The 24,782-nt window shown below is 34.0% G+C and overlaps 1 annotated feature.

Annotated features, from left to right (window-relative positions):
- Positions 13,656 to 14,306: an enhancer, noted in NCBI's record as "NANOG hESC enhancer chr5:99503139-99503789 (GRCh37/hg19 assembly coordinates)". NCBI's record gives its function as "activates a minimal SCP1, AML or CMV promoter by ChIP-STARR-seq in primed H9 embryonic stem cells {active_cell/tissue: H9 hESC(primed)}" and the evidence as "EXISTENCE:reporter gene assay evidence [ECO:0000049][PMID:30033119]".

Below are 24,782 nucleotides of genomic sequence, written 5' to 3' on the forward strand. Positions count from 1 at the left end.
CAACAGAGTAAAAAAACAACTCACAGAATGGGAGAAAATGTTCACAAACCTTGCATCCAACAAAGGCCTACTATAAAGAGTCTTTGAGGAACTTAAACAACTCAACAAGTAAACAACAACAACAACAAAATAATTGAAACCTGGACAAAGCTGACATGAACAGACACATCTCAAAAGAAGACATACAAGTAGCCAACAAACATGAAAAAATGCTCAAAATCACTAATTATCAGAGAAATGCAAATCAAAGCCACAATGAGATACCATCTCATACCGTTCACAATGCCTATTACTAAAAAGACATAAAATAATTGATGCTGGTGAGGCTATAGAAAAAAGAAATGCTTATACACTATTGGGGGGAATGTAAATTAGTTCAGGCACTGTGGAGAGAAGTTTAGCGATATCTCAAAGAATTCAAAAAACCAGCATTTGACCCAGTTATCTCATTGCTGGGTACACACCCAAAGGAAAACAGATTGTTGTATAAAAAAAGACACAAGCATTTGTAAGTTTATTGAAGCACTTTTCACAATAGCAAAGACATGGAATTTACCTAAGTGCCCACCAACAGTATATTGAATAAAGAAAATGTGATTCCTCACAAAAAATTAGCCAGGCTTAGTGGTGGGTGCCTGTAGTCCCAGCTACTCGGGAGGCTGAGGCAGGAGAATGGCGTGAACCCTGGAGGCGGAGCTCGCAGTGAGCCAAGATTGCGCCACTGCACTCCAGCCTGGGTGACAGAGCGAGACTCTGTCTCGGAAAAAAAAAAAAAAGAAAGAAAATGTGATTCCTATATATCATGGAATAATATGCAGCCATTAAAAATGTGAAATAATATCTTTTCAAGCTATATGGATGTAGCCATAGGTGATTATCCTAAGTGAATTGACACAGAAACAGAAAACCAAATACCACATGTTCTCATTTTTAAGCAGGAGCTAAATATTGGGTATGTATGGGCATAAAGATAGGAACAATGGATACTGAGGACTGCTAGAAGTGGCAAAAAGGGGAGGAAGGCAAACGTGAAAAACTACCTTTTGAATTGTATGCTCATTGATGCGTACCCCAAACCCCAGCATCATATAATATACCCATGTGACAAACCTGCACAAGTACCCCTTGAGTCTAAAATTAAAATTAAAATTATTTATAAAAATGGAATATTTCACCTTGAAAGTATATGATCATTTGCTCTGGAGAATGCAAAATTACAGTATAAATGAATGTAATCTTTCTAAAACAGTAATTTGGATCTGGGAAAATAATAAAAGGCATTTACATAGCTGGACTGTTAAAATGGTTGTTTTTTTTTGTGAAAAGAAACATATCCAGAATACATTTCCTATAGACCAATCTTACATTGATTTTGAGATACGTAATTTGGGAAATTTAGTAAATTATTTTAATTCAGAAACTAGAACCCTGATGTGGTAAATTCCTTCAAAATATGCAAAGCAATTAACACCCATGGAAAAAATATAATTTAAAAATAATCACCATTATTTAAATGCACACAGATATGTAAGGCATATTCTAAGTTCTTTAGATGTATCATATGATATAATCCTTGTAACTTCACAGCAAGTTATAGAGTGGTATTGTTACCACTGCTCACAGAAAAGGATACTGAGGGACAACAGAAGCACTTGAGTGCTTGTCAAAGCCAATTTTGTTTTTTCTTAACTTTTATTTTTGGTTCAGGGGTACATGTTCAAGATTGTTATATACATAAAGTTGGGTCATGGGGGTTTGCTGTACAGATTATTTTGTCACCCATGTACTAGGCCTAGTACTCATTAGTTATTTTTTCTGATTCTCTCCCTCCTCTCCCACCCTCCTCCCTCAAGTAGACCCCAGTGTCTGTTGTTCCCCTCTATGTGTCCGTGTGTCCTTATCATTTAGCTATCACTTATAAGTGAGAACATGCAGTGTTTGTTCTTCTGTTTCTGCCTTAGTTTGCTAAGAATAATGGCCTCCAACTCCATCCATGTTCCCGAAAAAAGACATGATCTCATTTTTTAATGGCTGCATAGTATTCTATGGTGTATAAGTGACACGTTTTCTTTGTCCATTCTGTCACTGATAGGCATTTAGGTTGATTCCATGTCTTTGCTATTGTGAAAAGTGCCGCAATGAACGTTCACATACATGTGTCTTTACGGTAAAAGAAATTATATTCCTTTAGGTATATACCCAGTAATGGTATTACTAGATCGAATGGAAGTTCTGTTTTTAGCTGTTTGAAGAATCACCACATTGTTTTTGACAATAGTTGAACAAATTTGCACTCTCACTGACCGTGTATAAGCATTCCCTTTTCTCTACAACCTCACCAGCATCTGTTATTTTTTGTCATTTTAACAATAGCCATTATGACTGGTGTGAGATGGTATCTTATAGTGGTTTTTATTACAATCTCTCTGATGATTAGTGATTTTTTAATTTTTTTAATAATAGCCATCCTGACTCAAAGCCCATGTTCTTAACCTCAATGACACACTGCTTTTATATCAGGCAAGAAGGCTTTGCATGCAAAGGCATAAATTTATTGTTCACACAGAAGGGAAGGTGGAATGTGGGGCTTTTTCAAAGTCACAGATGCTCACAGAAAAAGTGTTTTGGAAAATAAGCCTGGCACATAGTAACAATATATTTTTCTTTTATTATCATTGCTTTAAAACGACTTATAAAATTGTTAAACTTTCATAGCAAATTTGTTCCTCATTAATTTAGAAATAGTTCCAGAGTTTAAAAATACATATTTTAATTTTTTAAATTCAAGTGTTCCACAATAGGAAAAAAAAAACTCCAAAATGGCTGACTGTTATGCTTTTTATTATCATTTATCATTTCTTCAGTTTTAAATGCTGTAACATTTAAATTACACTTTAAACTATAATTATGGGTCCAAAGTTACATGCAGATTATTTGAATCATAAGAATGGTCAAAAGAATTGAACATATCAATAACAGAATTTCAAAGTATCTATAAACCCATCTGGAATTATAACAAGCTTGGCAGTTGGTAAGGATTCCCTCAACAAATTTGACATTGAAGAATATTATGTTATACTGTCGTCAATCTACCAAATCAGTTTATAAGTAGATGGAATCAATACGAAATTCTGAGAAGTACTTGGAAGTTTAAATAAGATGACTCCTAATATTATAAATGATACCAAGCTTGGAAGACTCTTAAAAGAACTCCTAAGCAATGGTTATATAGAATCGAACCACCTCATGGAAAGATGCCTTTAAAAATTCATCACTGTCACTTATAGGTAAGACCACAAAATTTTGCAAATTAAAAAAGCACTATTTTTAATATCAGGAACATTATAATGAAAAACACAGTAAAACCTACATTTAAAAAAAATGACTTCTGACTTTCTCTTCCAGTTATATTCTCTGTTCAAGCCTGCCACTTACTAGCTGACTATAGGTTTTCTCCCTCTTCCACCAACAATGACCCATCTCATGAGTGGGCTCTGACGTCATGCAAGCTGGAACTCTTTCTTTGTTCCTTAAATAATTTATCCATAATAACAACTGGAATGTGTAGCAATAAAGCACAATTTCTGGTTGGTTTATCAGCCATGTATAATTGCCACTATTAAAAAGCTCAAACATCCCTTTCCTCAATGCAGGAGTATGAAGAGTTCTCAAGAGTGCTTACTGTTCAAAAATGTAAATCATATGGATTATGGAATCGCTGGGTAGAAAAATCCAACAAAAAATAATAAAGTTAAAAAAGCAATGTCAGGTGGCTTCCACTGCAGAAGTAAAGTGGGAATGCACCACAGCCAAAATGGTTATTCATAAATAGTGAAACGCGCCAGCAGATCACACAATGTCCTTTGATAAAAGAAAAACTTCAGCTGAATTAAATTTAAAGGAGTTGAACTGAGCAATGAATGGCTTGCGAATTGGGCAGCCTCTTGAGCTGGAGTAGGCTCAGAGACTCCAGCACAGCCACGTGGTAGAAGAAAAGTTATGGACAGAAAAAGAAAAATGATGTACAGAAAACGGAAATGAGGTACAGAAACAGCTGGATTGGTTACAGTTCAACATTGCCTCATTTGAGCATGGTTTGAACAGTTGGCTGCATATGATTGGCCATAACTCAGTTATTGGTACAAGTATAGGCTACAGTCTGGTTATAGTTCATGATATACAGAGAAACCTTTAGGCCAAACTTAAATATGTAAGGAAGCAGCTTTAGGCTAAACTTGATTTAACAATTCTCATCTTTGGGTCGTCTTCTTAATTTTGATAGATTGATCAAAACTTTAGTTATTGATGTCACTATACCCACTGGCCTTGAAACCCACTTGGAAACAGTATAACAGTGGGTTTTGCAAGGTTGGAACAAGGACTGAGTAGAGGTACCTCCTTATGCTGCTGTGTCCTGTTTACAGGAGAAAAACAAAACCAGATCTATTCCAGGATCTATGTGTTTCCTTAAGTCTTCATTCGATTATGTCACATTTGACATGAGTGACTCTATTTTTGGTTTGGTCTGGTCTGTTGGGGCCTAGTACATGAGCTCAGTCCAAAACAATGGCCTCCCATAATTCTGTTCAAAAAAATTTCCTTTTTTGATCAGGTTACCACTTAGGTAACTTAGGTTATAGTTTGACCAAAACTTACGGCCTTAGCGCCACTGTTGGTTACCATTATTTTGGGTTTCCAGCCTCAGCATGTCATTCATAGGTTACGATGTCCTTAAAGCCACACATTTCTTTCAGCTTTTTTCATAACAGTTGAAGATAGGTCATTTGACATTCTAGAGATGCCTGCATGCAAACATTTAAAACTTCTGAGAGAATACAGTGCACCAGGGAGACTACTAATATGACTATCAGGAGAATAATAACAAGAGCTTGGAGTATGCTCTTTACTCAGGGTTCCCATAAACCAAACCAACTTAAAAAAAAAGATCAAATAATGACCTAGATACAGAATCTACTCACTTAACTAAGCAGTTTCTTCATTAATCCCCTACAACTGAATCTCTATAATACTAGATGTTTTCTCCACAGGCCACAAGTGCCAGCAGCTGCACAGATACTTCTGCTTAGCCAGTAAGTAATCTAGAACAATTATATTATTTAGCATAACTTTTACAAGAGAATTTGAAGTCTGTTGTGAAACCATAGCCTTTACAGCCAAATCTGCTATAGAGTCTATCATGAGAGATACATTTCTAATAATTGCCTCTTTTACTCCAAACAATGAAAAAAGGATCTTAAAAATGATGCCCTTCTAGAATAGTGAAGGCCTCTGGCAATGTTCTCTTTAACCCATGATATGGGTTAAGAAGAGTGAACTAATATTCTATTTCTGACTGATTATGAAGCAATGTACGTACCATTAACATTTTTCACTTACATTGGGTCTTCATCTTCCATCTATCAACATATAAGGTTATCCATTTATAAGGCTGGCTGCAAAATCCTTCACAAATAAAAGTATACCCCATAAGTGCACACAACAGACCCCCTTTTCACTTCTATTGTTCATAGAGGAATAAGCAAGGGAAAAAATATTTAAAGATAAGAGTCTCATGACGGTAGATAAGTCTTGAATCATGATCTTGGAAAAAGCTATTTACATCAAGGATGCTATCTTCCTCTAGGGAGAAACTTGCCTGGTTAGCTTTACTTTAAGAGTTCCAGTGGGTGTACAGTTTCAAGAGTGTGGAGGGACCCTTCTCACTTGTGAGATTATGAAGCTTAGCTTCAAGGTCCTGAAGTTTTGCTGCAGTGTGGATGGTAAGGGAAATCTTTCTCTGATGTTCTCAGAAGATCCAAACTTCAGGTTCTAGATTGTGAAGGGTTTGATTGTCCTCAGTCAGTGAACCCTAAAAAGCTGTCTTTACGTGGTGAAAACACACTGTGGCATAATAATCTACTGTGATAACATCAGTGTTCTTGGATGGAACAGCATATATATAACCAGAAAACATGCATCAAAAATGACAATCGAATGAAATCCCTCTATAAATGTTTAAATGTCCCATCTGGTAGCCAAATGTACCTGAAGTTTTGATTGTCTTCCCAGGAATATGTGCTTGACAAACTAAACATTTGTTGCAAATGATTTTAGTAATTGAGAAGTCACCACACCAATATATATTTAATTTGGATCATTTTATGTTTTTCATAATGGTTATGGAATACAGAACTTTCATAACAAAATCTTCCAGGACTAAGGAAGGACAAGGCAGCCATCCTGGTTCTCCATGAGTCCATGCTGAACATTGGACTTATGTCCTCTTGAACACCAGTTGTTTCTCCAATTCAGGTGAGTAGCACTGATAACTAATAGGTTATAATAGATAATTTGACTTAAACTATGGAGTTCATTCACATTGTACATCTAAATAATTTCAGTACTGACTGATTTGACATGGAAATCTGGCAAAGTATTTTCTTGGTCTTCAATTAATTTTTCTACTTGGGTTAGCAGTTTTATGAACCAGTCAGTCTTTTCTTTAAAGTTCCAAGAATTCTTACGCAGTCCAAAAGATATGATTCTAAAGTTATCAGAAACTTGTATTTGAGAGTGCTTTTCAGGATCTTTTCCATCCTTTCATGAACCTCCTAAAAGATGGCATATTCTAAAATTTTGCATGCTTGTGAAGTTTTCAGAAACTGCATCAGCATTAAGCAATTAACTGTGGAATGACTTTAAATCATCATAAAGACATAATTGACAAGGAAATTTAGTTATTTCTGTGGTCTTCTATAACTTAACATAATAACCATAGTTATGATTGATAGGATATCCACAGACATATTAGAATTTTAGAAATCTCATATAATTTTGGAATATATATTAATGTCATTCACTAAAATATAACCAGAATAAGGTTAAACATTATTTTTTATTTTGATGATTCCTATATAACTTAACATGTCAAATAATTCTGTTTACCTTTCTTTTGGATGCTTCAGGGGTCCTTTGCAGCATCTCAATGTTAGAGGTTAAAAAAGACTTACTTTTAAAGCTGAAATTTCATTTTGGGAAGCCTGTCAAATGTGTTAAAGGTTTAAAACACTTCATATAATAAAATACAATTCCAGGTCAACATAAGTCATTCATTTAGCCAAAATGATAACTCAAAATTTTAAGAAAGGCAAAAACCTTTCCTCTTTGATAGAGGGAAGACTTAGCTTTCCAAAACATCTGTCTCATCTTTCTCTTCTTTTTCCTGTAGTTTATTGAAAAGGTAAACAAAAATATTTTATATCCTTTAATATCACATGAAAATCTTATTCAAGATATAAAGCCAAATTTTACCCTTGCATTAGTGTACTATTAATGTCATCCCATTTTTTAATAAAACCTTATAGAATAATCTATCAAATCTTAATCAGTTTGCCCATAAGGTGAGATTCTCATAAACATTTTATAACCCTTTACAAATTTTTGTTAAGGAGCAGATCAGTGTTCCAAGAAAACCCTGTTATGCTTTTATTCCAATGTTAAATTTATGGGAAAAAAATGAGCAATACTCTTTCAAATTTAGGCAATATGTTTATACACAGAATCTCTTTAACAATTAATTTTTCATGAACTTTCCACAATCTGCACAAACATTTAGCTTTATCCTATCTAATTTAAAATAATTATTTAACTCTCTAACCAAGGCAAATATTTACATTCACATGCCTTCTTATAATCTTTTAGTAAAGGAACATTTTACTTTCCTTACACACCTTGCATGTAAAATTGTTTCTTCAGTAGTTTCAAGTACATGTTACACTGTTAACTCTTAGCAACTTTTGGTGAAAAATCTGGTTAGTAAGCTATTTTAATTATGTACTTAGTTTAGAGCCTAGGACATCAGACCGAAGTGCTGATAAGGTCTGACTCTTACCAGCATAGCTAAGGGGATGGCTAATTTCACATGTTCCCAGGCCTAACCTAATATTTGACCTGCCTAATTTAGACCAAATGTCTTTATTTTACCAATAATCTTTAAAACTCTTTATTTCCTAACACTGATCTCACATGAACTAAAAAGCATTAGTTGTATTTTTCTAACAAAATATTTGATTTTTTTCTTTAAGCCAATTAATTACAGCTGCTTTATATAAATATCACACACACAACACATACATAACTACACAGACAGACAGAGGAAGATCCAGTATTGTAGGATTTTTAATTTGCCATTTGTTAATTTTCTTAATTGGATTACTGGCTTCGGGGTGGAGACCTTCAAGAAACAGGGCCAGGAAAGCATATAGTTTCTAGGGCCTAATAAGCAGGTACAGCCAGAAGGCAAAAACCAGATCCCCCAAATTAAGGGTCCCATTTTTATATCACCTCCTGGATCCCCAAAAAGAGGGAAATGCTATGGGAGAAGACAGTGCAAAACTTTTTCCATTCATTTCATTGCTAAGCAACCCAAACCCAATCAGCCCATCCTGTGACTAGCCCATCCCCCATGATAGGCTTATCTCAGTGGGGATAGGGACATTTCCATACTTTTTGGGTGGCCAAGAGCATGCTTTTCTGATCCAAATGTGCAATGAGTCAAAAACTACCATTTGCCATCCCTAAAAGTATATTTAGCATTAGATTTTGAGAGGGATCTATCTGCTTTTAATTCCTGGTGTTTCATAAGGAAAACAGAGGTTATTTTCTAAAACAGGATCTATGGCACCTCCTCTTTTTTCCTAAAGAGTCCCAAGCTGTTAGAAATTCTTTTATGCCCTCTCAGGTGTGCATCAAGAGTGGTGAGACAAAATGAAGAAAAACAATTCAGTTACCTGAGAAGACCAAACATTTTTACCATAAAAACAAATTCAAGAAGAGAAAAAACATAAAGGCCTTTCACATACATGTACAGCTTGGATATCCATTAAGCATGCCTTTAACCATAGTGCTCTTTTTAAAAAATATCCATCTAACTTTCCTATTACCCTACTTTAGCCAGCCAAACAGCCAATATTTCTGGCTTTTAAATCTTACTGAAAGTAACCTCATTGGGTGAAATCAACAAGCATTAACTAAGGTTATGACTTAACCACAAGTGAATGAGGTATTTTCAAACAGGTGGTTAGCAGTTTTTACCAGATATAGAATCTCCAAAGGTATCTCAAATAAAGGAAAATTCAAGATGTTTCTTGTAGGGGAAGAAAATCAACAAATGGTAAAGGTCACACTGATATTAAACCAGAAAGGACTCATTCTCTAAGCCAAGAATTGAATCCTGAACCTGGGCTTCCACTGTGAAAAGAAAAAGCGTTAGCTACTAAGCTAAAGCACTGGGCAACTTTCATCACTCTTCCCAGGAGCCAAGAACAGTCGGTTTTGAGTTTGCAAAGGCTTTTGACTACTCAAGACAATTTTAGAGCTAACTGTAACATGAACTCCAAAATTCCTGTTCCCTGAATGACAGAGACCAAGAGAAAGTACAATCAGATGATTACATGGTCAACCTACCAAGGACATAAAACAAGATGGAGACCTCATCCAGGTTTTTTGTTTCAGGAACCTGCAGCAAAGCTTCTTACTGACCAGCATCCTGTACCATCTTGAATAGCGGGCTTGTGGGATCCTAAGCCCATTATCCTAAGGTACCTCTCTTTATGACAGAATGACACAGAAAAACAAATTAATAGCACAAAGTACACCAGATATGCTAAAGCTTAGGACTAGTCTCACAAATGCTTTTTTCTATTAACCAAACCATTGGAGAGGAGACAAACAGTGATGTTTACCATTTTCACTTACACACATGCACAGACACACACACACATACACAAAAAGAGAGAGAGAGAAGCATTGCTCATGGCAGGGTGGGAAAGGTAGGGAACTTGGGGAAGTCAGAGAAAGTCCCACCCATTGCACTAATACTGAATCAAAAGTTCAGGCTACCGCTTGCTGGTAACACAGGGATCTTTTCCAACAATCCCATCAGCTCTCAAGTTTCCCCCTTTGGGGAGAAAAAGTTCCCCATGTTCCATGGTCCCATATATGCCTAATCCTCTCACCCATAGCTGTCAGCAAAGAGTGCAAGGCAGATTTAATTTTTTTTTAAATCAATTAGTCACTTAAAGTTTTTATTTGCTTTTCATAAACTTCTAAATAAAAATATTGAAATATTTTTAGAATCTTCTGCATGTAAATAAGCATCCCTAGATGAGACTAATTTTGGAGCCCTCATTTTTAAATGCACCTCAGTGCAATGTTCTTTATTTGGAACATTCCACTGTAAGTTCTCTTTAACAAAATTTTGTCATTTCTGTAAGACATTGCTGCTCAGTTCTTCAGAAAATAAAAATTCCATTTTTTACCTCAAATATTGGCTTTGCTCTCAGGTTCCCTTGATTAACTTAGCCGGTGTTTTTTCCTACCTAAGCACGCAAGAAAAATGAAGCTAAGGAGTAGAACACAAAAATCCATGCACATTTCCAAAAGCCAAATTTTACACCCCCTGCAATATTGACATTACTACCAGTTTCTTTCTGACCCAGTGAAGTGTAAGAAGCTTCTAACTGGATGATTATTATGCACAATTATTTCAAAAATAATTCTGGCAAATCTCTAAAATTTGCAAATGAGTTGGTTTTGCAGTTGGTGAACGCAGTGATAGCTACTTTACACAGTTCTTCAGCATTAATTATATTTATCACTGGTATTAAGAATCACATGTACTATTTATAAAATACATATAACTACAGGTTTATAATTTTTTCATCTCTATGGGAAATCTGTCAATATCATTAGCCCCTATTTTATCAAAATTATGGAAAATGTTATTACCATATATTACTCTGCTATCATTATTGGGTTTATTTTCTGGGGTTTTTTTGGGTATTCTTTTTTCCAAAGTACAAAATTTGTTCAAGAGATGAAAATGGGACCTGCTCCATGGAAGTTCCCAAGCAGAAGCCTGTGTTAACTAAGTCATCAAATTCTCTGCTTTGGATAAATTGTTACTGCCATCATTCAGAGACAAAAAGAAAAACAATTTATTATACAGAAGCAATGACTCATTTTACATTCCTACTCCATTTTTTTGTCAAGCATTTTCTAAGTTCCACCGAATCCAGCTTAAAACATGTTCAGAATCAATTTCAGCATATAATTCATGATAAAATAAATTAATTACATATTGGAAAAATTTAGTTAAAAATAATTTTTCAGGAAAAGAAAAGGGAGCATGGATTAAGTTAACAAAGATAGAGCAAGTGATGGGTTGATTGCTCAGAATCACCATAAAAGCTCCTCCAAGGATTCTCTTAGGGACAACTAGAGTACACAGATATAATTCATTTATTAGATTGCTATGAAGAAAACAGTTTTAATTTGATGATGAAGAATTCAACCCCACATTTCCAATGAAAGCAAAAGATCCAATTATTTCAAGGACTGAGCAATTTAACTAAATGCTATATCCTAGGGAACTATGATAGGAATCAAATGTAGTGGTTTATGGAAGTTGATTTAATTTTTGTCAAAAGTACATATATTTTCTAGTAACAACTAACTTTTAGTTCTCATTTTATGATTATATTAAGAAAGAATCAAAGTTCTCTTTTTTTCTTTGAAAAAATAAATTCAGGAATTTCAGGTTATAGGAGAAAAGAACCAAAAATTTTCTATGACATCCAAACGCTGAGAACTCCATTAAACACTGTCACTGGCCCAGGCACTTGCTCTACCATACCAGTTCATGGTGTGCATGACTCAAACTGGGGTTTCAGCAAAACCACACATTATTACATGTTGGACACTTTCATTATCACTCATGAATGGTGTAAACAGTGAACATTAAACCTAGAAAATATGCAAGATTAGGATGGAGTATGGAAACAGGGCCTCTGCAGTGAAAAGGATATTTTTCATTACTAGAGTAGAGAGAAAAAGTAAAATGTTGACATGTCTGGTGATGGGATAAGAGGATAACCAAATGTTATGCAGATTTTTTTAATAATTATAATAGGAAATAATATATCACCAAAATAGAAAGTCTTAGAGCTTCTTTTAACTAACCAGTAAAATACATGTAATATGTTTTATAATTTTCCCCAAATTATTTGTAATTATTGATATAGCATAATTAGTGTGTTGTATACTATCAGAATTTAATATTTAAATAATGATTGCAGAGTTTGAATTCTGGGGGTGATATATTCAAAGACATAAATTAATTATATTAACCCTCATGTTATGAGCTAAGAAAAAATTTCTTGAGAAAGCAGTGGGGCAATGTGTCCTTTTTTATGATTAATTCCTAAGCTGTCACTAAAGGAAGAATAACGAGTTTGCTATAAATATGCATTTTGACAAAAATGGGAGTTGATATTTATTTCTGAATAACTTTGTGTGAAAAACGGCTTCTTTGATATTTTTAAATGTAACATTTCTTATTCTAAATTAAGGAAAAGATTGTTCATGGTGCAATGGAGAAAAATAATTTATATTGCCATTTCTCATTTCTACCCACAAATGTCTCTCTCTTCAGCATAACTCTATTCTCTGGGCTTGATTTATAATGATTTTTTATTTTCCAAATAAGTTCAACAAAATAGGAATTGCTACTAGTGAGAATGGTTCAAATATATACACACACACATATATATATATATACATAGTCATTATATATGAGTCTTAAGAATCTTCAGGCATTTTAAAGATGGCACATGATATATTTTGAGCAACAGCAAATAATAACATTTTATAAAATTTGAGATTATAAGGGTACTGCAGGACCTTGAAAAGAAACCTAGAAAAAAAATTAATTCCTTTTCCAAAGAATTTACTTATTTGACACTTGACGAAGGTCACTTTTTTGACAAGGAAAATATTCTCTTGAATCAAGTAGTTATAATTTAGACCTAATCACAAGAATATTTGGAGCAAAGGGTGGAAAAAGGCAGTAATTCGAGAACATCATGTTAAATTTATGTTGCCACTAGAAAGGCTTACAAACATTTCTGATTATACTTTTAAGCTGCAATAACTTAAAAGAGGTCCTTTTTAGCCTGTAGCAAATCAGTGCACTAAATATACCCATATTAGCATTCAAGACAATATGTAATATTTAATTTTAGTCAGACTATGAAAAATAGAAGAGAATGAGAGGATACAGGAATGAAATTATCAATATTACTACTGTTAATGGGAAGCATTTTGTCATTTTAAGGTGATAATTCAACCTTTTTCAGGCATATGAGACATAACCATTATAAAGCACCTGTATCAAATATGATCTTATCAAAACTTTTTGGGTGAATAAATAAACTGAAAAATCCTCCTGGAAAAAAAGACAGTTTTGCCAACCACTGACTTCTTTGAATTACTTTTGAAGAAATTTTGATAGAGACTGACTGTTACTCAGATTCTCAAGGTCTAATTAAACATATTTGCCAACACATCAAATGGGTGGGAGAGCAATATAACTGTGGAAGTGAAAGGAAGCTAAACCGTCAGGAGTTGGAAATCCTAATTGTCTTTGAACAAAGTGCTCAATAATACAGAAAATATATAGTAATCTTTTTTGGACTAAAAGAGTCAATAAACTTCAAAAATTCAATAACCTCCTATTTCCAGGGAGTTAGATGGAGTTAGAACTTTAAATATTTATTAATAACAAGTTTAAAAAATTGCATTTAGTTAGCCTTTGTTGAATGAGAATTTAATATTCCTAGATGTTAGAACTAGAGCTTAGGAATATCATCACTTGGATATGGGTCTGGATAGCTACCACTCGAATGAAAACATATTTCATGAGAATTTAATTTTCACTGAGTATAATTTGTGCAAAGATGTAGTGACTTGGAAAGCTCTTCAATGTAAAGAAGTTATTGCTAACTAGACTTGAAAGAGCTAATGAATCATTCACTAGAAAACTTCACTTGAACAGGAAGTACAACACCATTTTGAATATTGCCTTTTTCATTTAAATGCTGGAGTTAATTGTAAAGTAAATTTCACCCATTCCCATTAAGTCCTAAATAAGTGTGGTACGATGCAGTTTACTGATACTTAAGACAACCAAAGAACAATTTTCACACCTCATTGCCACACATAAAAGAGAGGCAAAATGAAATCCAAGACACATAATAGGAGCCCTGTAGGCTCTTTGATCACTCATTACATGGATTTTTCCCTTGTAATATCACATTGATTTCCTGCTTTATACACCAGAACTAAAAATAATTCTGATCATATGTAAATGTTGCACGTATTATTAGAACTCTGGTAAATGCTTTCAGCTCAAGTGATTGAAACAGATCTTAATTTTTCATTTGCACAATCTTCAACAAATCATATTTTCCTAGTCTTGTATTTCTCATCAATGTTAATGGGGCCAATGTATACATAATTGCAGGATAATTAGAATATTTGATTAATCAATATATTTATTTCAATTTTAAATAGTAACAGCTCAGCTTTCACTATCCTGAATTTTAAAAATAAATAAATAAAGTGTTATCAGGGTATGCTTATTTAGATGTATGTGTATATAGGTATATAGATAGATAACATGAGTTCTGATTTGTACTTATTAAAGAAGAAAGTATACACATAATTTGATAAAATTATTTAGAAAATTGGTTTAAATTCAATTTTAAAAATCCTCAAAACGTTAACTTGAACTGTCTCTGGATTGCAAACGTTATAGGATATTATCATATTCGGTGTATTATAATTAAGAGTATGCACTTTGTAACAGGTATGAAATCCTGCTTTTCCACTCAACCACATGTGAGATCTTTTGCAATTTCTTATTTCACTAAGCCACAATTTGCACATGTAAAAATTGAAATAATACAAGTCACTATTTCATAGAGTTGTGGTGTTAGTTAAGGCAATACTAACAAAGCTCTTAGCTGAGCTTCTGACAAAATATCAATAATGAGAATCTTTCCTTTTATTATTTGTATTTAAATATACAGTCATACTAATTAAACAATAGACTCCAAATTACAGCATTTTGAACTTTTCTCTTAGAAAAATGACTGAATAAATGGAAGCATGAATGAAGTACTCTGTGATATATTGCTATTAAGGGCAAAACCAAATAAGCACATCTATTCCTTATACATTAATTTTAGTCATGTCCTGTATTTTATAATATTTATATATCCAATTGACAGTGGTACAATGATGACAAGGTTAATAATAATAATAGAGACTAATTGCCTAGTTACCTAGAGTTAGTTTCAACTGTTATATATACTTCATTAGCTTTTACATGAACAACAAAATTATTCATCAAAATGTGAAAATATTTTTAATTTTCTTGAAACATTTTTGTATCATAGTTAAATATTAATTACGAAAAAGTGAAAACTAGGTAACTGTGAGTAAAATTTATAACTTCTCATGTAAGTTCAGGAATTCCTGAATTTCTAATTTGTGGTTTCTAACTCCTCATAACCACCCCCATTTCAAACCTCACCTCCTGTGCTCCACTTCAGATTTGGTACTATAGCTGTCTCGAATTAAAAGATTAGCAAATCCTGAAAATCTTTACCACTGACAGAAAATCCTTTTGTTTACTACTTCAAACAAAAAGGTTTAAAAGCCACTCACAAAAGGAAGAATTGAAAAATACACTCATAAATTCCAGAGATGCCTTCATATAGAGATTTCTTTTTCATTCATTATAATGAAATGCTAAAATGAAGATATCAGCTACCTAAGACACATTCCAAAGCCACGTAAGATACAAAACACATGAAACAAGGTAAACCTAAGGTTAAGTAACTTTATAACTTCTCACTCCCAAAAGGGTATGAAAGGGTGAAAGGAGTAAAGTCTGAGAGATTATTTTTAAAGAACATTTCTTTAGAAAGAGTTTAAGAACTGAGAAAAAAATACCTAGGAATCCAACTTACAAGAGATGTGAAGGACCTCTTCAACGAGAACTACAAACCACTGCTCAATGAAATGAAAGAGGATACAAACAAATGGAAGAACATTCCATGCTCATGGGTAGGAAGGATCAATATCGTGAAAATGGCCATACTGCCCAAGGTAATTTATAGATTCAATGCCATCCCCATCAAGCTACCAATGACTTTCTTCACAGAATTGAAAAAAACTACTTTAAAGTTCATATGGAACCAAAAAAGAGCCCATATCACCAAGTCAATCCTAAGCCAGAAGAACAAAGCCGTAGGCATCACACTACCTGACTTCAAACTATACTACAAGGCTACAGTAACCAAAAGAGCATGGTACTGGTACCAAAACAGAGATATAGATCAATGGAACAGAACAGAGACCTCAGAAATAATGCCGCATATTTACAACTATCTGATCTTTGACAAACCTGACAAAAACAGGCAATGGGGAAAGGATTCCCTACTTAATAAATGGTGCTGGGAAAACTGGCTAGCCACATGTAGAAAGCTGAAACTGGAACCCATCCTTACACCTTATACAAAAATTAATTCAAGATGGATTAAAGACTTAAATGTTAGACCTAAAACCATAAAAACCCTAGAAGAAAACATAGGCGATACCAGTTAGGACATAGGCATGGGCAAGGACTTCATGTCTAAAACACCAAAAGCAATGGCAACAAAAGCCAAAATTGACAAACGGGATCTAATTAAACTCAAGACCTTCTGCACAGCAAAAGAAACTACCATCAGAGTGAACAGGCAACCTACAAAATGGGAGAAAATTTTCACAACCTACTCATCTGACAAAGGGCTAATATCCAGAATCTACAATGAACTCAAACAAATTTACAAGAAAAAAACAAACAACCCCATCAAAAAGTGGGTGAAGGACATGAACAGACACTTCTCAAAAGAAGACATTTATGCAGCCAAAAGACACAAGAAAAAATGCTCATCATCACTGGCCATCAGAGAAATGCAAATCAAAGCCACAATGAGATACCATCTCACACCAGTTAGAATGGCGATCATTCAAAAGTCAGGAAACAAAAGGTGCTGGAGAGGATGTGGAGAAATAGGAACACTTTTACACTGTTGGTGGGACTGTAAACTAGTTCAACCATTGTGGAAGTCAGTGTGGCGATTCCTCAGGGATCTAGAACTAGAAATACCATTTGACCCAGCCATCCCATTACTGGGTATATGCCCAAAGGATTATAAATCAAGCTGCTATAAAGACACATGCACACGTATGTTTATTATGGCACTATTCATAATAGCAAAGACTTGGAACCAACCCAAATGTCCAACAACGATAGACTGGATTAAGAAAATGTGGCACATATACACCATGGAATACTATGCAGCCATAAAAAATGAAGAGTTCATGTCCTTTGTAGGGACATGGATGAAACTGGAAACCATCATTCTCAGCAAACTATCGCAAGGACAAAAAAACCAAACACCGCATATTCTCACTCATAGGTGGGAATTGAACAATGAGAACACATGGACACAGGAAGGGGAACATCACACTTCGGGGACTGTTGTGGGGTCGGGGGAGGGGGGAGGGATAGCATTAGGAGATATACCTAATGCTAAATGACGAGTTAATGGGTGCAGCACACCAACATGGCACATGTATACATATGTAACAAACCTGCACATTGTGCACATGTACCCTAAACTTAAAGTATAATAATAATAAAATAAAAAATAAAAATAAATAAAAAAAAAGAACTGCACCCTCCAAGGGAAAGGGCTAGGGAATGCTGCATCATAAACAGAATTCAAGAGAAAAAAGCTTTAATCCCATTACTTGGAAGATGAATATGCTTATCTTTCAGTTCGACTGGTGTTTGAGTCACATCTCAGAAGAACCGAAGGAGCAAAAGGCTGGTTGAAGGAACCTGTGGCATCAGAGAAAAGGCTAGGACCTAGGAAGAACTCCATTCCTAGTGTGTGCTGAAGCAGATACAGGCTACACAGCAGAGAAACAGCATAGTGGTTTCTTGTATCATATACAAGAAGAGGTAAGAGGTCTGAGAAAGTAAAAGGTAGATCATTGGATGTCCAGGGCTATAGATAAGTTCCAGAGAGACAAGCCTAAAGAGATATGTTTGCAATGGGTAGTGCATCACTAACATAGGCTGTCTCCAAATAAACCAGGAAATGATAAAAAATATATATTCTTTAAAATTGTGGCACATTCCAAGGAGCAAAAAACAAGTTCTTTCTTTTCTCATACCTATCCTGAAAGGATAAGAAAACAAGAATGATGATATTGTTAAAGGAAAAACAGAAGTTGATGCAAAACCAATTGTTCTTAAGGAAGGTTTACAGAATTAGAGGGAAAAAAAAAACACAATCCTAACCTTCGGAAAGCTACAACTTATAAAAGCAGAATTGAGTAAGATAAGTTGTCAAAGAGATGGTAAAAGAGCTCACGGCAAAAAAAAAAAAAAACAAACAAACAAAAAAAAACGCAATACAGAAGACAAGAAAGGTGAAAATTTCAAGAAGGAGGGAGTTATTGGCTATGTGGAACATAATAAGTTCATGTAAGATTAGGATTTAAAAAGGTATGTTTTACCTTCTTGAGAGCAGTTCTCATGGAATGATGTAAGCTGAAGTCATTTTAAGCTGGAAAATGCATTCATTTTTTAACCATGGAGACATTTCTATAGTAGATTTTCTATTATAGAAATTTTGAAAATTCTGATAAAAGTAATAGCAACTCTTTTTGCCTCTACCACTTCCTGGCTATATGTCCTGAGTAAGTCACTTGACTCAGGGATTGTTGGAGTTGATATAAGAAGACAATTTTGCAGAACTGGCTAACAATTTAATTTAGTTTAAAGGCCTTGAAATGAATATTTTTTCTATCAGTATGGATTATTTAAATAGATATTTATACATGTTTATTAGAGATTCTATAATCACATAAAGATTTTTTTCAGTGCCATGCAGTAACATTCAAACAATACATTTTGTTACTGTAAATGTCTAAATTTTTAAAAAATGAATGTTTTGGAAGAAATAAAAATTAATTCTAAAAATGACAGTTTACTTTAACATAGATTTGAAATTAATTTTTGTTCCTAAAATGAACAAGCCAATGTACAAATAAATAAGTAAAATGCTATACAATTATATAGTAATAAACATTTTTTTCCAAAGGATGACTGTAACTCAATAGCACTAGTGTTATCCTTATTTATATAAAATGACCTTCAACACAAAAAAGCGGAAAATGTATATCAGAGAAAACTAATTTAAAGTAGTATATTTCACTAATTATTCCATTTAAGACATAAGATAATTCCATTTAAGACATAAGATAATCTTATTAAATTTGAGAAAGAGTATGGCAATATAGGTGATAAGATCTGAATCATGCCTAACAAAGAGTTAAGTAATAATTGGCAGCTATAATTTAAGTAAATATTTAAGTTATTGATATATGATAATAATGTGGCCAAAAAAAGCATCCAAGAACTGATTTCATGAAACAGAAAAACATACTTCAAGATATTTTTTAATGTCACCTGCGTAAATTATCTCAAAATTAAAAGAATCCGTGAATGCAATGATATAAAGTACAAGCTAATTAACTTACACATATCCTAGCTTAAAATTAATTTATCATGCCTTAAAGTTCAACAAAATTGCACAAAGTCATCCTTCAAAGAAGGATGTTTATCTCCATGATATTTAGAAATAAATAAGAGGAGCTATTAAATAGTTTATTGTTTAATAGAGCCTAAAAATGGCAAATATGTCTGATTGTCAATTTTGAATGTCCTGTGTGATTATCACTTATAAAACATGACTTTATATTAAAATATATTACTTGAAATATTATTGTATTAGGATATTTTTATGTATGCTAGAGGAAATTTTAATCTACTGTCTATCTGTTTAGAAATTAATCTAATCTGTTTAGAAAATGAAATAAAATATAAATACCATTCTTATAAAAATTGCCAGATCTTGAGAAATGATTTTCAGTAAGTATATGTATTAAGCAAACAATAGTTTATATTTTTCTATTGGAATGTAAAAGCTTATATAATAAGAACTTCCATTATTTTTCTTTTTTCGAATGAAAGTGAAACATGAAAACACATAATGAAAGTAAAATTTAACAGTGGGCAATAAACATACATATAGATATATAAAATTGCACATATATAAACATGAGCATTTTAAAAATATATATAATGTGTATAGATATATTTATAGCTATCATCACAATATATCTTTGAATGATTTGTTATATTCATAGAAAGATCAACTGAGTAAAATAGAGATTTTAGAAAGACTTAAATATATGTATTTCACTTTAAATCATGGGGGAGAGATTACAGTAACTAACTTCCAGATAGCTCCCAATGACTGTCTCTTCTCCTTTTATTCATTGCTTCTGTAGTCTTCTTCCACATTGTATCATGGTTGGTCTGTGTTGTGTCACCAGTAGAATATGGAGGAAGTGATGGTATATAATTTCTAAATTAGGTTATAAAAGACACTACGAATTCCCTTTTGCACTCTTTGTCTTTGTCTCTCACCACTGAGTCTGGAGAAAGCTGACTGCCATGTTACCCTATGCAGAGGCCCATGTGGTAAGGAACAAAGGCCTTCTCCCAACAACCATGTGACTGAGCTTAAAAGTGGATCCTTATTTCAATTAACTTAGCAAAAGAAAACCCACAGAATGATTAACATATCATGATGCGAACAAGGATCAGGAAGAAATATTCAGTAAATTTTTTTTTTTTTTACTTTCTGCCATCCAGGAATCATTTAGATAGTAATAACAGTATATAATTATCTGTTTCTATTTCTCCTGTAATTTTTACATTACATTTACATTGCTACATTTTCCTAAATATTAATATACCTGTTTCTGCAATGTGCTACTATTTTATTTTTGGAGATGACTATTTAGCAAACTAGTAGCAGCAAAAGACCAAAAGTTACCTGTGTACTAAAGGTCAGATGCGGCAAAGCACAAAAATAAGAAAATGTCCAAACAACAGAAAATCCACCTGTGACACAAGTGACGTTTTTTTGGATAAAGACAAAATGTATTTTCTTTTGTACCAAAACGAGAATAAAAAAGGTTAGTTGATTAAATATATTGTACTCTAACTATATTTTGTTGCACTATTTATAATAAGGACCTTGGCAAAACTTAAAGTTGTTGTAAAATAGGTCTTTTAAATGAATTATATGTATCTTGTAGGATTTTGTAACTTACATTTGAGAAAGCTAACTAATATTTCCCTCCTAAAGATTGATATAAATACAAATTTATTCTTTGGATATTACAGAGAATCTATAACATTGAACTAGAATAAAATGACATTTAGATTACTTTGCTTTTTGATTAATCCCTATCACACCAGAAATATAAAGAAATTGAGTAGGGCATAGATTTTACAACGGAACCCAACAACGTTCATTCCTGAAGACAGCTGCCAAGTATAAAGAAGCTAAGAAGTTAGCTCTAGGAAGGTATATGTCCATATGCATATACATCCATAAGATTATGCCATCAAATTATACACATAAGTAAATTTCTGTCAGAAAATTCTACCATTGCTAATCTTCATAAATTAGCCCACCTACCCAAATGAAACATATATCTCCTATTCATAGCCTTCAATGATCCTCAGCCATTAAATCTAGATTTTTCTTGTGGTTTTCTTGTAAAGAATATAATGTGTTAGAAGTGAAATCATATGATCTATGAAGCCAGTTAAGAAAAATATATTGAGGTCACTGCTTTACTCTTGGAATGCTATTCAAGGCCAACTGCGATGAAAAAATGTCTGGTTATTGTGAGAGCACAATGAATGCTGTGAGGAAGCCCAAATGAGCACATAGAGGAACTCATTGTTATAGAGAGGTGCCCAGCCAGCTATGAATGTTAGCCATGTTTGACCCTCCAGACAAACCTAAAAAGTACCAGTGAATGGCTGCAGTTGACATATGAAGCAAGAGGTTATCCCAGCCAAACTCAATGTGAATACTTGCCACACAAAATTGTGATACAACAAAATATTGGTTTGCTGTTTTAAGCTTTAGGGAAGTTTTTTACACAAGAATATATAATCAGAATGAAATTTGGTACGTGGGACTGGGGAGTCAATGTATCAAAAACTCTAAAACACTTGCCTTTAAAACTGAGCAGGGGGCATGACCTAAAAGAGCCTCAAGATGACTTTCATTGAAAGCTGGATGATCCTGAAGGAGACACTTCATAACCATGAACATGAGACAATGCCAAGATGAGACAATGTTGTTGAAGACCATAAAATAACACCTTCTATGTAATGGCAGAAACTTTGGTAACACTGTCTCATACAGTAACATGGAAATAGAAAAGGTATCTAATGAATTCATGTATCCGTCTATGTAGATTTATTAGCAAAAAGTGGAAAATAACATAAACATTGCTTCTTATGCATATGATAAAAATTTTAAAAGAATGAAGAACTGATATTTTAATATACAGCTCTGATAATAATTTAATGTGAAATCCAGGCTTTGTGGCTCACGCCTGTAATTCCAACATTTGGTGAGGCCAAACTGGAAGGACAGTTTGAGACCAGGAGTTCAAGACCAGCCTGAGCAACATAGCAAGATCTCATGACTGCAAAAAGTAAAAAAAATAGCCAGGCATGATGGCATTTGTCTGTAGTACAAACAACTAGGAAGGCTGAAGGGGGAGGATCATTTGAACCCAGGAGTTCAGGGTTCCAATGAACTCTGATCATGCCACTGCACTTCAGCCTAGGTGAGAGAGCAAGACTTGTCTCTAAAAATAAATAAACTAATTAATTAAATAAAAAATTAAAAATGAAGAGAAATAATTTCTCAAATGAAAAATAAGGTGATCCCTCTTCATCAGTCTCTCTTGGCAAAATATTTTTAAACTAAGAAATGTCTTCAGATATAGACATGCAAAATTATGCAGAAGAACAACAAACCCAGGAATTTGTTATTTTAAAAAATTAATAAGATAGACCAGCAGCTAGACTAATAAAGAAGAAAAGAGAGAAGATTCAAATAAACACAATTAGAAATTACAAAGGGGATGTTTCCACTGACCCCAAGGAAATACAAGTAACCATCGGAGACCACTATGAACACCTCTATGCACACAACTAGAAAATCCAGAGGAAATAGATACATTCCTGGACACATACATCCTCCCAAGGCTGAACCAGAAAGAAATTAAATTCCCGAATAGACCAATAACGAGCTCGAAATTGAGTCAATAATGAATAACCTAACAACCAAAAACAAGTCCAGGACCAGATGGATTCACAGCTGAATTCTAATAAATGTATAAAGGAGAGCTGGTACCATTTCTGCCGAAGCTATTTCAAAAAAAAAAAAAAAATGAAGAGGACAGATGCATTCCCAAATCATTCTATGTGGCCAGCACCATCTTGATACTAAAACCTGGCAAGCACACACACACACACACACACACACACACACACACACATACACACACACACACATACACACACTGCAGGCCAATATCCTTCATGAACATAGAAACAAAATCTCAACAAAATACTAGCAAACTGATCCAGCAGCACATCAAAAAGCTAATCCACCATGAACAAGTAGACTTCATCCCTGGAATGCCAGGTTGATTCAACACACACAAATCAATGTGTGATTCATCATAAAAACAGAACTAAAGAGAAAATCCACATAATTTTCTCAACAGGCATTTGATAAAATTCAACATCACTTCATGTTAAAAACCCACAATAGGCCGGGCGCAGTGGCTCACGCCTGTAATCCCAGCACTTTGGGAGGCTGAGGTGGGCAGATCACAAGGTAAGGAGATCGAGAACATCCTGGCCAACATGGTGAAACCCCATCTCTACTAAAATACAAAAAATTAGCCGGGCATGGTGGTGTGTGCCTGTAGTCCCAGCTACTCGGGGAGTCTGAGGCAGGGGAATAGCTCGAACCTGGGAGGTGGAGGTTGCAGTGAGCTGAGATTGTGTCACTGCGCTCCAGCCTGGTGACAGAGCAAGACTCCAGAAAAAAAAAAAGAAAAAAAAAACCCTCAATAAACTAGGCAGTGAAAGAACATACTTCAATATAATAAGAGCTATATATGATGAACTCACAGCCAACATCACACATAATGGGCAAAAGCTGAAAGCATTCCCTTTGAAAACCAAAACAAGAAAACAATGCCAACTCTCACCACTCCTATTTAACATAGTATTGGAAGTTCTGGCCAGAGATATTAGGCAAGAGAAAGAAATAAAAGACATGAAAATAGGAAGACAGAAAGCCAAACTATCTCTGTTTGCAGGTAGCATGATTCTATATCTGGAAACCCCATTGTCTCTGCTCAAAAGCTCCTTGAGCTGATAAGCAACTTCAACAAAGTTTCAGGATACAAAATCAATATACAATAATCAGTGTATAGCATTTCTATACACTAACAGCACTCAAGCCAAGAACCAGTTAAGGAACTCAATCCCATTCACAACTGCCACAAAAGAACAAAATACCTAGAAATACAGTTAGCCAGGGATATAAAAGATCTCTACAAAGAGAGCTACAAAACACTGCTCAAGGAAATCAGAGATGACACAAACAAATTGAGAAGCATCCCATGATCATGGATAGGAAGAATCAGTGTTGTTAAAATGGCCATAAGGTCCAAAGCAATTTACAAATTCAATGCTATTTCTATCACACTACCAAAGACACTCTTCACAGAACTAGAAAAAATTATTCTAAAATTCATATAGAACCAAAAAGAGGCTAAAAAGAAGAAAGTTGAAGGAATCCTATTGCCCGATTTTAAACTGTACAAGCCTACAGTAATCAAAACAGCATGGTACT

The sequence above is a fragment of the Homo sapiens genome, chromosome 5 (genome assembly GCF_000001405.40).
Source record: "Homo sapiens chromosome 5, GRCh38.p14 Primary Assembly".
In the NCBI taxonomy this organism is placed as follows: domain Eukaryota; kingdom Metazoa; phylum Chordata; class Mammalia; order Primates; family Hominidae; genus Homo; species Homo sapiens.